The 15,382-nt window shown below is 32.4% G+C and overlaps 1 protein-coding gene across 3 annotated transcripts; it reads right to left on the bottom strand.

Annotated features, from left to right (window-relative positions):
* Positions 384-14,959, bottom strand: UGT2B28 (UDP glucuronosyltransferase family 2 member B28). 3 transcript variants are annotated; one of them, NM_053039.2, is made up of 6 exons: positions 14,213-14,959; positions 12,772-12,920; positions 8,551-8,682; positions 5,682-5,769; positions 4,623-4,842; positions 384-904 (listed from the first exon to the last, which is right to left on the bottom strand). In NM_053039.2, exons 1-6 carry the CDS (start codon positions 14,931-14,933, stop codon positions 625-627), a joined length of 1,590 nt encoding a protein of 529 aa, NP_444267.1. In that variant the 5' UTR covers positions 14,934-14,959; the 3' UTR covers positions 384-624. The 3 variants fall into 3 exon arrangements, with proteins under 3 accessions (NP_444267.1, XP_016863792.1, NP_001193933.1); XM_017008303.2 differs by having other exon boundaries at positions 4,763-4,842; NM_001207004.2 differs by lacking the exons at positions 4,623-4,842; positions 5,682-5,769.

The following is a 15,382-nucleotide window of genomic DNA, read 5'->3' as shown; positions in this document are numbered from 1 at the left end:
GAAATGACTTATGCTCTTAAAACAGTAAACATTTGGCCATCAATTTTAGCAAAAAATGTGACAATGAAGCTGCATGCAGTGTAAAAGTAAAGCAATACTACTTATCTCAAGATATCAAAAGGAAGAGAGAGACTTTTTATACAATTTAACTATGTAATAGTTTCTTTAGCAACAGTTAAAACAACCGAATCCTGTTCAAAATGAAGCCAAATTATTCTGAGTATGTGCAAAACACTACTGATACTGTCAGTAGACTTCTTAATGTTCTTGTGTTTATATAAAATGTGTGAAATGTAGTTAAACTGAGTAATATTTTTATGTAACTTGTGAATTCAAACAACAAATCTCAATATAAGTGCAACAAATTTCAATATGAGCTCATATGGCTTTATATTATTTTTTATTTTCCCTAGTGTTTTCTTCATTGCCACAGAATATTTCTAACCATTACCTGGGTGGTAAATCTCTGAAAAACAAATTTTTACTTGACAAGGTAGATTTTGAAAAGTTTTTTTTTTTGTCACAGGAAGAAAGAAATCTTGCATAACAATCTTTTCTTTCTTGCTGGAATAAACTGATGTCAACCCATCTATCTGGTTTTCCAGCTTCAAATGTCAGACATAACTAATCTCTTTTTCCCTTCTTCCCTTTTCTAGCAAACTTCCAGAAACAAAACAGACAAAACTTTGTGACGACAAATATCACAGTTGCCACACAGGCCAGCAGAAACCCAATCACATCCAAAGAGTGGTACTGGAACCAGGTGAGGTCACGGGCTGCAACTCGAAGGTGTTTGGCTCCTTTGTGGCACATCACAAATTCAATCCAGAAGACTGCTCGATGCAGGGGCTTTACTGGTTGATCATGTTGAATTATTGATAATTTCATAACATTCTCTTTATATCTGAAGGATAAAAATAAAGATACCAACACTGAAAGTAAGTTAACTGGCCTGTATGTATCAAGTCTATGAAAGGCTTTTAAAGTGTCAAATAATTCAAAGTAAATTTGAAAGAATTGACAGAGAATTTGTGTATTTTAATTTGAGTCATCATAGATAGTTGGGCTTTTAAATTGGACTTTTCTCATTGACAAACATTTTTAAAGCAGAAATGGAAGGTCAGGTGAGAAAATTAATTTTTTTCAAGCAGAGAAAATATAAGGCATTTTAATTGTTTTTAATTCTTTAATTTTAAGTTTTTGTGGGTCCATATTAAGTGTATATATTTATGGGGTACATGAGATATTTTGATACAATGTGAAATAATCACATCATGAAAAATAGGATATTCATCCTTTAAGCATTTATCCTTTGTATTATGAACAATCCAATTACACTCTTAGTTCTCAAACAGGCATATGAGTACCTGCTCAACATCATGAGCCATTTTAAGTGCTGTAAGAAAGATTGTGAAAATGCGATGTGAGAATTATCATCTGTAAGTTCCTAAAAAGGAATTTTATCATGGCGAGTGACATACCTCATGGCTTGTCACTTTGCTTTTACATTACTCTTTTGTTTCCTACTGTTTCCCACCCTGTAGCCAGAATGATTTTTTGAAATTAAAGTCAGATTATGGCACTCTTCTGATTAAGATTTTTGCCTGGCTTCTCATTCTTTTAATCATAAAATTCAACTCTGTTATTTGGTCTACAGAACCCTACATTTTAAGACACTGGCAAGCTCTTTTCTAACACTTTTCCCCTGCACATTGTCTTCTAGATTGGCCTTCTAATTTTCTTTAAGCTTCCAAAGGTGTTCTCATCTTAGCACTTTACACATTTTGTTCCTTCTCTCCTGCTCTTGGAGTACTCTTTCTTGCTGCAACCCAAGGCATGCTTCTCTCCCTTTTTGTGGCTTCCCTCTAAGTGTTACCTCTAAGAGAGGCTTTTATTGGCCAAACTGTGATGGAGCCTCTAGAATTTTCTCTATTTTCTGTGCTTATTTTCTATCTGATTCCTAGAATTTTGTAAATGATTTATATATCTCATAAAATATACATTTAAATATAAAACACAAAAGATAAATATACATACACTAAGTGAATAGTTCAAAAATGGAAGATCATCTTGAACATTATCTTGAGGTGAAGATACCAATTTACCTACTGTTCAGGTCGTGGTATAGGCTATCACAATCTGCCTAGAATAACTCCCTTTTTCTGAACCTTTTAGTGACTACTTTTGTCCTCCAACTAAGGATTAGCCTGACTTCGAATCACAACATTAGTTTTGCTTGTTTATGTAATTGAATTATATAATATGTACTCAAAAGTGTCTTTTTCTTTAATGTAGCAGTTCTTGGGTAATTCCATTGCTATGTAGTATTCTGTTGATTGATAAACCACAGATTATGTCTTCATTTTACGATGAATAGATATTTGGGTTGCTAACAATTTTTGAACACTGTTGATAATTCTCTCATGAACACTCTGCTATACAGCATTAGATTTATATATTTATGTATATCTGTTGTGTATATAATTGAGAGTAGAATTGCTGAGATAAAAGTGCATGCATAATTATGATTTACTTCTTGACTTTAAATTTTTTTGAAGTGTATTTTTTTAATTTCCAATATTAAGGATATTTTAGTAATAGTATTTTTAACCTCCGTTATTTCCACTATGGCTGGATCATATAGTCTTCATGATATTGAATCTTTTTATATTTCCTAAGTCTTGATTTATTGCCCACCACATATCACTTCAAGTAAAGATTAACTATTTGACGTACTCCAGGAAAATGTGTCTTCAAGTTGATATATACAATACATATATGTGTATTGTATATGTATATATGTGTTTGTATATCATTTTAGATTGTAAGAATCCATTTGTTAATTGTATTCTTCAAGTGTTTTATGTCCTTACTCATTATTTGCTCTTTTATTAAAAGTCTGTTTAGATTGAGTGAAAGTATTTGTATAATCACATTTAAATCTACCACTTTGTTTTATATTTCTTTTCTATTTGTCCAAGCTGGTTTGTGTTGCTTTTCAATTATTTCCCATCTTCTTTAAACATATATTGATCATTCATTATCCTTCTATTTTCTTTGGGATAAAGTATTTTTAAAGCATTCCTTTAGATGATACCCTCCTTACACAAAAACTTTATTGAGAGTAGTTATAAATGTGGAATTGATGGTAGCTGGACTCCGCAAGGAATTTTTCACATTGTTATCTTTGGGGTGTGAACAAAATCAATTATTAAAACTTTAACTTAAAATTATATTTTTTGTGCTTCAAAGACCATCATCAAAAAGTAAAAAGTTAGTGCACCCAGAATGGGACAAAATATTTAAAAATTATATATCTGATTTGACCCATAATATATAAGTAGTTCTTAAAACTTAATAATAAGACAAATAGAAAAGTTAAAAATGTTCCAAGCGTTGGAATAGACATGTTTTCTAAGAAGATATATGAATGATCAATAAGCACTTATAAATGTTCTCAACATCTTCAGCAGTAATGAAAATGCAATCCAAGACCAGGATGAGAGATCATTTTACACCCACTAAGAAGGCTGTAACAAAAAGACAGACAATAAGGGGTTTGACAACAGTGTGGAGGAATTGGAACCATATTGTACTGCTGATGGTAGTGATGAATGGAACAATTACTTTGGAAAACAGTTTAGCAGTTCTTCATAAACATACAGTTCTCACATGAGGCAGCAATTCCACTTCTGCATCAACCCAAAAGAAAGTAAAACATGTTTATGCAAAGACATGTATAGCAATATTCTTAGTAGCCACAATTGGAAACAATCAAAAGGCCAATGAACTGACAAATGAACAACTAAATTATGACATATCCATACTATAAAATATTACACAAGTGTAAAGGAAATGAAGTATTAAAACACAAAACAATATGAAGTAAAACAAAAACCATAAGAAAAGAACAAAAATTAGGCTAGGTGAAATGTCATTTACACAGCACCTGAGACTGTACGATTCCGTTTATATGAAATATCTAGAGAGAATAACTTATAGAGAAAGAAAACAAATTGGTGTTAGACTAGGACTAAGCAGTTATGAGAAGTGATTTTGGTGTCATTGCAGTTTCTTTTGTGTTGATAAAAATGTTCTAAAATTATATGATGGTGATAGTTTCATGACTCTGTAAACATAGTAAAAACATTTGGATTTTATGGCATAAATAGGTGGATTTTAAGCTATCGAAATTAAATCTCATTTTCAAGTCTGTTAAAATAATGATGATAAAAATTAATTTTTCAGCAAGAAAATAGTTATATTCTGAGTCATTTTAGATATTTAATTAAAACATTTTATAATATTTCAAGTTTATTCTTCCTTTCTACTATGGATTCGTTATGTTAAAATTTTAAGAAATGTATTTTTTATATTATCTATGACATTTTAAAATTATTTTTGTTTAGAAAATTGCTTCACTAACTGGTTACTCATTAGATGTATGGGATTCAAGCACAATTTTTAAATAACAGATAAAAAACAAAGCAGATTTCAGATTGGTTAAATCATTTAAATTCTTTCAAGATTACTCTCTTATAAAAAGGATGAAACTCATGCTCACTATTGAAAAGAGAAGCTATCTACAAATACCACCTAGTGAAAAATACTGTTCTACTCACGAAGGATCATTAATTACTGTCTTCAGTGCATTCAGCAGGTCTGTACTCGACATTGTGTGGAAGTCCAGTCTAACAGCTGCTCCCTTGGCCTTCATGTGAGCAATGTTATCAGGTTGATCCCAAAACAATGGAATGCCTACCATAGGGATCCCATGGTAGATTGCCTCATAGATGCCATTGGCTCCACCATGAGTTATAAAAGCTCTGGTTTTTGGAAGACCTAGGATTGGATGAATTTTAGCAAAATTATTCATAGGAATAAAATGCGATACACAATGAAATGCTCTGAAAGTGACAGTGTTTTCTAGATAACACATTAAACTAATTTGCCATTACTTTTCAGACTTCAGAGGAATAAACACGTACTTGTTTAGGAGATGTAATTGAAGTCTCCGTGGTGTGCATAACTTCAGGGTGCAAAACTGAATACAAGATTTTCAGCGGGACTAATGAAAAGTGCATTCTAGATTTTTTAAATGTGCACAAAAGAGGACAGCAAAGAGATGGGCATGAAATAAAGTTTTATTTTAGGTGCTGTCACAGAGTGTGATATGTGGGGTGTGCAAGGCAGCAGGCAGTGGGTTGGTGGTGGTGCTAGGATTGAGGAAAGACAGGTTACACTTCATCATGAAATGTGTCACTACTTTAAGATTAAGATTAGGAATTTAGTCCTCCAGATAATACAGAGTCACTGGTGATAGAAGAGCTATTATATTTACTGGCATTTGAAATAAACCTGCAGGAGAGGAGAAAACAGGTGTAAAGTTGTAGAAACAGGAGACGGAGAGACAGCCCAGGAAGATACTGAAAAATTCTGTGAGATATAATAGCACCTGAAATAAAGATTATCTCTGATTCTGACCATAAAGTATATGAGTGAATATCATAAAATGCCAGCAATTCTACCATATTCTTTTCCCCTAGGACTGGAAAATAAATACAAAGAAGTTCTTTTTGTTTTCCTATAATAAATATTCAATAAGCATGTTTCAAGATAAACTATTAACATTCTAATGTGCAGTTACTAATATATCCAGTATTTGTTCACCAGAGTGTTACCTAGAAGGTCATTCTGGGGTATCCACTTATACAGCCGAGTATTGAGACCTAAGGCATCTGGTTTATTCCCATCAAATCTCCACAGAACCTGTTACAGTAAAGAGAATATCTTATTCCATGAGTGGAACTCAAAAATTATAGAATGTTAGAACTGTAAAAAGGGTAGGAATGAGATCAAGGGATGTTAGTAAATAAATCTACTCAGAGATTGATGTAAAAACAATACTCACATTTTATTTTCTTAACTTTTATAATGATTTAGATATATAAGAAACCATTATTTTCCAAAATAGTACCGTAGAAAAATAAGATTATCAATGAAAAGTTCAAATATTCAAAAAATTGTTACACTTTTTAAAAAAAGACCTACCTGCGGCCAACCATCACATGAAGTAAAATAACTTAACAGCACGGATCATTAGAGAAATTCAAATCAAAACCATAATGAGATAACATCTCACACTAGTCAGAATGGCCATTATTAAAAATTCAAAAAATATCATGATGTTGGCGAGATTGTATAGAAAAGGAATGCTTATACTCTGTTGGTTGGAATGTAAGTTAGTTCAACCATTGTGGAAGACAGTGTGGCCATTCCTCAGAAACCTAGAGGCAAAAATACCATGAAACCCAGCAATCCCATTACTGGGTATATAAGCAAAGGACTATAACTGGTTCTTTTATGAAGATCCATGAAAATATATGTTAGTTGCAGTACTATTCACAATAGCAAGGACATGCAGTCAACCTAAATGACCATCAATTATGGACTGAATGAAGAAAATATGGCATATATACACTACAGAATATTATGCAGCCATAAAAAAACAAAAATATGTATTTTGCAGGGATAAGGATGGAGCTGGAGGCCATTAGCCTTAGGAAACTAACAGGAATTGAAATCCAAATGTGACATGTCCTCACTTTTGAGTGGAAGCTAAAAGATGAGAACACGTGGATACATAGATGGCAACAACATACACTGAGATGTATAGGATGGTGGAGGGTGGGAGGAAAGAGAGGATCAGGAAAAATAATAAACGAATATTAGTCTTAATACCTGGGTGATGAAACAATTAGTACAACAAAACCCCATGACACAAGTTTACCTATGTAAAAAACCTGCACATGTACTCCTGAACTTAAAAGTTAAAAATAAAAGTTAATTTAATTTAAAAAATAAAAATATTATAAAAAAAGTATAAAAAATTATATGGAGTCATTGTAATTCTAGTGTAATAAAACAGTAACTATTTAGTAATGACCTATATGTTTGTTTTATGTATTTTATATCAGTTTTCATCTCCAAATTTAATTGTAATATATTCATTTGTTTTTGAATAATATGAGAAGTAGTATAAATGTATCTACTTGTCGGTAGGTTATTATATTAGAGCCTGTTGTCCTTTGATTGACAAAATAGCAAGTCTATAAAATAAGCTAATTATAAGAAATAAATAAATGCTGCCAAGGTTTTACGTATAACTTCATTGGAATTACAAATTTTCAAGCACTACTTCCAAGAAAAATTTCAAGTGACAATTTTTGCCACAAATTCAGAATATTACCAGTATCGTTAATTTTGGATTTTTTTTTTTTTTGGCCTAGAAATGAGGAGCCTGTTGGAATCATGAATAAAAATAAAGCTGTTGAATAAACTCAAAATTGTATTTTGCTGAATTTGGTCAACTGATTATTATCACTTAGACAACGTGCTACAAAGCTTTGACAACAGTGATTAATATGTTCTGCTATAGCCAAGACATTCTTATTTTGTTACTAATTTTGAAACTCCAAAGCAATCCTCATAAAGTGAACAATAATTTACAGTGTTTAACTTTTATTTGCTACATCAGTGTTAAAGTAACTCAGGTTTCAGCAAAAAGTTAGAGGTCATTACAAGAAAGCTTTATCAGATAGGAAATTAAAAAGTAATTCACAAATACACAAAGGTCCCTGGTTTATTCTATATAGAAGAAAATACATTCCTACTATGTTCTATGGAGGGGACATCTAAACCTGTTCCCCTGCCTGGCTTCCTTCTGTTTGACTCCTTCCTATATTTCCTACTGCTGCCTCCACTGGGAGGGGTTGTTAATCTGGTAGTTAGTGCTGAGTCCTTGTGGGACCATATTTTATACTGTACAGGATCCACCTTCAGGTCAGGATCCATCTCCATCCTTTCTCTTTCACCTTCCTGCTTCAGGCAGTGTTCTCTATTTGTTGTCACATATTTCACATAAGCATTTGACTTAAAGTACAAACAGAAATAGTACATTCCTTAATTGTAAACATTCACCAAGAGCTTCCAGAGTACAATAAGTAATAGAGGTGGTCCAAGAGTAAGTCAAATCTTCTTCACTCATTAGATACTGCTGAGATTAGGAAAACAGCTTTGAAGAAAATGATCATAAGTCTTCCTTGTATTTCTACAAAGATGCAGTTCTGGATATATATTTTTAGTTGAAAACACTTGAAAGTCATCTAAAGACTACATTAGGCACCATTTTCACTTACCTGAAATATATTGAGTTAATTTCAGCCATATGTATGACTGTTAATATCAGAAATTAAAAATAATCATGGGTCTCAAGTTCCCTTTTGTGGATACATATGGAGTACTGAGTTCCCACTGGTAGTAATAGGAACCACTCATGCATACCAAGGGTAGTAACACCCCCAGGGCCACATGTAACCACTAAGTCTGAGGCACAACTATGACTTGTGTCGGTGGAAGCTACACAAGATATTTAAGACTGTATTTGGCTGTAAAGAGTTCAGTCTAGCCTTAATATTCTTTCTGTGTAGATCTCAAACTTTAACAGCCTCTTTCAGTAGTTTTCCACACCAGTAAGGCACTTTATCTTACCTTTTGTGGGATCTTGGCAAGGGCTGTTGCAATTACGTTGGCCCTTTCTGCTGTCATGTTACTTATCACTGACCCCAGAGAAAACACCACAACACCATTTTCACCAGAGCTCTGTACAAATTCCTCCATTTCCTGTGAAAAAAAATTGTTTAATCACAAAAGAGTATCACCACAGCAGGCACTACTAAAGAATTGGTACCAAATATTAAAGAGAGAAAATCAAGTATTTTGAGGAATTATTGGAGTAAATAATATTTTTTAACTGACTCAATCACTCAGGTTCTTTACAAGAAGATGTTTGAGGTAGTTGGCCTCTGTTAAGGATATTTGTGTAAATATGTGTGTTTATGTAGGTATGTGTCTGCATGTGTGTAATGGAGAAAAGAAATGGAGCTATTACATTGTAGTCAGGGAGATAATGTGAAAAAATATACCCAGACTCTTCACTTATAATACTATAATTACTAATATAAGTTCTTGGAAAAGTGGCACCACTAGGCTTTAATGCTATATTTTTCTTCTACTTAAACACTTGTGTTTATTTCAGGCATGTTTTCTGTAGAATTCTTTTAGTTTGAAGCCATTAGTGATCTACTTCCCTAAATATGAGCACTGAGGAAAAGCTATTCACAGTTGGGATAATTTTATATCTACATTTATGTTCCTCTACAATGCTTTATGCTTCACTTAAAGTTTGTCAGAGTTTTCCAGTAGTTTTTCAAAAAATAAAAAATGAAAATAAAAGCTGGTGGTTAAGAATCACTGACATTCCTGAGTCTAGTATTGTGATTTGGAATTTTTATGACTCAGTCTTGAGAGTCTCATTTATCATACAGAATTGTAGAGTTTATAGTTAGTTGTTGAATAATTGTACCTTTCAGGTTATTGTTTAGGTGGAGCACCTATTGCCCTGAAATCCCACTGTTAAATTGATGTGCTGTTTATAACTGCATGTGAGGAACTCTCATCATCACTTTGTTGTGTCTCAGAGGCAGCACTGGCACCAGAATAGAAGAGGCCACCAGGCCTTTCTGCAGGGGGATCTTGTCTCTCTTTTGAGTAGCTCACGCACACCACATTACACGCCTGGTGAAGATGTGCTTGGCTGCAATTGATTGAGAATTATTCTGACTTGAGTTCCCCAATGTATACCGATATTTAAATTTAAGTATTTTCAGATTTAATCATTGGGGTAAAACTTTTCCAAATGGTTTTTAACAAAACAAAGAAAAAAATGTCTAAATGTGAACAGTGCACCACGTATGGCAGAGCGTTTTTTAAAATATGATTTTTAATCTTACGTTAACGTGAGAGTCCTTGTACTACTATTCCACGTAATACCTGGGGCTTCTAGGTGTTGTGTGTGATTGCAGTTACCTGTAACCACATTTAATGTGACTCGTTTTCAGTGTTTCATCTCACTGGCTTGATATCAGAGCCTTGTTTTTCTACCCAGTGTTGAAGGAATCTAACCTCTGTTTAGAGATTCATCACTGATATTGACGGGTTGTTGCTCCTTTAGTGATAATATTATAAAAATAATACAAAATTAATGTAAGAAATTGTATAAAAGTATGAAAAGCGTTTTAAAAAATAATTTTTCTAAAATTTCTACCTAGAGATATTATTTATAGAAAATATGTATTTTTTTATTATGGATTTTGTCCTATTTATATAGGTCAATGTATACATGTGACACTTATTTAGAAAATTTCAATCTTATTGTATATACATTTTATCCTGCAAAAACTTCCATCTTGTTATATTTATCATTTTCTAACTCATATTATCTGTACTATGGCTGATGGTGTAATTGAATATTTCATTGATAAAATTATTTTAATGCTATCGTATGCAAATAAATTTTAATCATTCTTTCATGTAAGATGTCGGATTAATTCTAATGTTAATTTTGTGAATATTTTCCATAATGTTTAATAGGTACAACTTGATTTTTTTATGATTTCACGTGAATATATTATAAAATTAATAACAATACGCATTTTTAAAACACTTGATGCAGTTTGTCAAGTGTCTTATTCTCTTAAAATATATAGAAATTATCTGAGAATGTAATATATAATTGAAAAGAAAGCAACCTGTGTTAGCAGTTATTTTACATAATAAACAGTTAAATAACTGGTTTCACAACCATTGACTTGCATTCAAAACTTTCTGCAAGTTAATAACAAGACCTAGTATTAGTAATTACCACTATTGTACTACTAGTCAACCTTTTTTCTTGTCCTTTTACACCTCCTACTCTCTTCCTCCTCCAATTTGCACTGTCAGTTTCCCTTAATGTGAATGGGGAAATCTTTCAAGAGTAGTGTAGAGTGGCGCAGATTTTTCATTAGTCTTTACCTCAGCTTTTGTCTCTTGAGAAAGTGACTATATAAAGCCCATACAATTTGCATTAAACATAGATACTGAGTTTTAACAATGGAATAAAATATCAGTTTTATGTAAGCAAAAATGTTCTTTTAAGAGGTTGAGTAATAATGCATTGAAGAAGGCTTACTTTGTACATATGTCTTAAAATGTGATATTAATTTAAAATATATGAGATTTTTCTGTTCCTTCAAAAAGAATATAATCTTATATGCTGACAGAATTTTTTTTCGTATTGAAACTAAGGGCACTATTCAGATACAAGTGGTAGAAATTATTTGTTCTTTATTATACATGCATTGTTCACTATCTCTGTGCTTCTCTGTCAGGCACCTATGATGTTGAGATAAGTTCCCCCAGAAAGCTTTACTGAGTTGCTTGTCATATGGCAGACATCGTCTGCTCTAATAGGGTATGTTTATGATCTAAAATGTAAAATTCTGGGATCTCAATGCAGAAATGATTTAAATACTTTATTAAAGTCAAGTGAACCCTGGGTTTGTCTGCACATATTTAAGGCACACATTTGTATTGTTGAGGAAGTGTTTTATGCTCGAATACTAGTGAAGATCCTTATTACTTACGGTAGAATTTTAGAATTTCAACTGGCTCATTTTACTGTCACAATTGATATGTCTAATTTTAATCAAGTCCACAGGGTATCTGTCATATATGACTTTGCAAGAGAATATAACCTTGATGTGCTGAATAATCTGGTTCTCTTAAATGAGGAATGATATCTCAAGTGACTTGCACATGTTAAGTAGTTAGTAGTATTGGTAATAATAACAAAATAACCATAATTGCAAAATTAATAACATTTCTGAGTCACTGACTATATCCCAGAGACATTTTAAGTGTTTTGTCTGTTTTAATATTTCTTCCACACAACACAATATGAAGTTGGCACTATTTTAGCAAATGTAGGCATAATTATTTCTATCAACTTTCTAGTCCACTTTTCCATCATCTTCTACCTGAATCCATGGAAAATTTCCTAAATGGTTGGCTCTTTACAGTGTGGCCCTTCTGTAATTTAATCCATTGAATATCTTGGAGGCTCTTCTTAAAAAAGAGAATCGTTTCATATATATTTATTTCTTAACTCTTTTTAGTAGTTTTTCAATGTTCTTAATAAATATTTCCACTCCTAATATGTATCTGGCTCTAATTTACCTCTTAGTATGATCTAGATTCTTAATCATTCCCTAAAAACAAAACCTGAGGACTTGAGAACTGTCCTGACCACTTTATCTGCTTTCCCTTTTTGTCTGCCTCTCCCCGCCATTCTTTTACCTATTTCTGCATATTGTTCAGCTCTCATCTTACTAATCCATGACTCCAGGATACTTTCTATTATCTCCACTGATGCTTTCTTGATATTGGGTTTTTCCTTGAGATAATAGTTTTTTAAAACATTTTCATTAGTTACTTTTCTATATTTCAAAGTAGAATGTAAGGTATGTGCAGACGGAAACTGTCTATTTTTTTTCTCTGAAATTTCTGCACTTACTTGTGTTTTGTGCTAATCCCTTTATAAATATTCTTTGAATGAATGACAAATACCTCCTTAGGTGTTGCATAATCAAGACTTTAATCAACCCTATTTTCAAAGTCTCCTTACTATTCCTCTCTATTTGTAATATGCATAAAACTCACATACATGTGATGGTATTAACATATACATGAGTTTCTATTTGGTATCTGCTTTACACCACCTACTTCCCATCTTTCTTTCAGTGTAAGTCAAACATTTTGAATGAAGGCTATAGACTCATTTCTACTGAAACTTCGAAGCCAACAAAATAAAACCAACGAAAGTATGTTTACCTTAGGTAGGGGTTTGGCAGGTTTGCAGTGGAGTCCTCCAACAAAATCAATGTTTGGTAAGAATGGATGAGGAAATTGAAAACTCCAGGAGTTTCGCATAAGCCATATGTCAGCTTTCCCCATTGTCTCAAATAAGGTAGTGGGTCTTCCTGACAGGAATAAAGAAAAGAAAAAGTGGATGATGTAAGATAATTACTTTACATAACTTTCTGAAAGGGGTTAGAATTATGTAGGCAAAGATGTAGGTAAAGTTTGTGTGCTTTGAAAAATATATACATATATTCATGTATATGAATAATATATTTTTATGTATTATATATTTTGTCCATGTTTATTTATAAGAAAGGCAAAGTGGTGGGAGAATTATGAAGTTAAGCGACATCTCTAATGTCAAGTCAGTGTACTCACAATTATTAAAATAAGTCATAGAAAATTAAACATCAATTTATTTTCTCTTTAAAGCTTCAATAGTTGCATATAGATATTTAAACAACTCTTTGAGCTCCATAATCAATTAATTCTACTGTACCCATAAAACCAATTTTCTAACAGTCCAGTTTACACAACTCCTTAAGCTAATCCTTTTATCTTTGGTTCTTCAAGTGAACTCGGACTATTTTGAGAGTATGGCAGAAATCCTTGTACCAACTACTCATTTGGATTTGAGCTAAGATCTTAATAATATTATCATTTAAGTAAATATATTTGTAAATTATAGCTAGAAATTTTTGAGAAATTATTGAAATAGAGATCTGTACTCAACCTTAATCTGTCTCATATTTTTAAATAAAGAGACATAGTTTCAAATAAACTATATAGATATAACAACCTTCACACTTCAACAAGATAATTGGACTTTAAATGAATGAATTCCAATTCTTTAGTGAAGGAGTATAGAAACATTAGAAACTTCAAATTACCCTGATTAACTTTTGCATCTGAGATGTGGACATTATCTCTCTCTACTGTGAAGGAAACCTTCTGGAAACATGGGAATATCTTTTAATACCTAAAAAAGAAAACTGAGGTTTACAAGGAAAACTTTCTGCAGTTATATAGATAGTTGTAGAAAAATGTGTAATTACTCATTCTAAATCTATGCATTCAGTAAGATGTTACTTGATGGATTTCACTGTTTTTAAGATCTAAAACATTATATAGTAAAACAGATGTGTAATTGCTTAAAGTCTTAGGTGTACTAATATATAGGTTTATGATTTCCTGGGGTGTTCTGTATGAGTGATGGCCACAGGGTTTTAACAGACCTTATAATTTAAGCTTTTCTATAATGTTTGTGAGATTGATAGATCATCTTGTATTTTCATTTCATAAATTCACTTACCAAAAACTCCACTTCCCTGACTTTATGGCTTTATATAAGCTCTGCTTCAAAGACACAAATAAGTTAGATCTTCAAGTTCCCGATTAAACAAATTCTTACCTAAAACTTCACTGTAAAACTGATCCCACTTCTTCATATCACACATTTGGAACCAAAAGTCAAAATAAAGCACATAGATCATGTTTTTTACCCTCTCCATGAAAGTCATTTGATCACTTAATTTTGACATAACAACAGGTATGTAGGAAGGAGGGAAAATCAGTCCTCCACTGTGCCTTTCAATTGTGTAGCCAGGAGTGAAGCAGAGACTGTACACAAACGGTATGTTAAGTAGCGCAGCCAGCAGCTCACCACAAGGAAAAAAAGCATCTGCAAAAATGATGTCAAATCTTGACTCTTGTAGTTTTTTCATAACTTTCTTATTTGAAACTACATCTTTACAGAAGTTTCTAAATATGTCATGAAATTCCCACAGGATTTCTTGTTCTTGTGAAAAATATAACCAAAAGCTATCTTTTTGAATGTCTGACCATCTCTTAACCTGTTGCATGATGATATTCTCAAATTCAGTTTTAGTTAAAGATGTAGGATAAACTTCGAGTTTAAGAGTGAATGCGTCATTGGGATCAAAAAGAATGGAAGCTGAAGATGCCAGTACAGTCACCTCATGACCTCTCTGAACAAGCTCTTTCAGGATTGTCTTCATATTCATCCAATGGCTGTATTCACCGGTCCACACCAGCACCTTTCCACAACTCCCAGAGCTAAAGTAACAACCGAGATGTATCAGCAGAAGAACTGAAGTCCACTTCAGAGCCATCCTGGTGCAATGCAATCATTCTTTTCAAGTCACTGTTTCTTTCTCATACTTATATACAGAGATAAATCAATCAAGTTAAAACATAACTCCTTCAATCCAAAGTAAATATATTATAGGAGCATCCTGAGTACATGGATGACAAGGAGACAAAGTTTGATTACTTCATATTTACTCAAGGATGTTTGATGTTTCTTTTATGTTTATATTCGCTGTCATCCACCTAAGATTAATGACCTTGCAAGTACCCTGTTTTATGTAACCTATTTTATAATAGTGTCAAGAATAGTGGCAAGTGAGAGAGTCCTGCAGGGCCCTTGACACAGAGTAAGAGATGAAGTGATCGTACAATGCAAATAGCGTTTTTGAATATCGTGGTTCAAGGAATATCTTGTAAAACTTTGTTGAAGTATAATTCAAATACCATATGATTCATCAATTAGTATTTAAAA

The sequence above is a fragment of the Homo sapiens genome, chromosome 4, assembly GCF_000001405.40.
Source record: "Homo sapiens chromosome 4, GRCh38.p14 Primary Assembly".
NCBI lineage: Eukaryota > Metazoa > Chordata > Mammalia > Primates > Hominidae > Homo > Homo sapiens.
The sequence above is the reverse complement of the archived record's forward strand: the minus strand, read 5'-3'. Positions and strand labels throughout refer to the sequence as shown.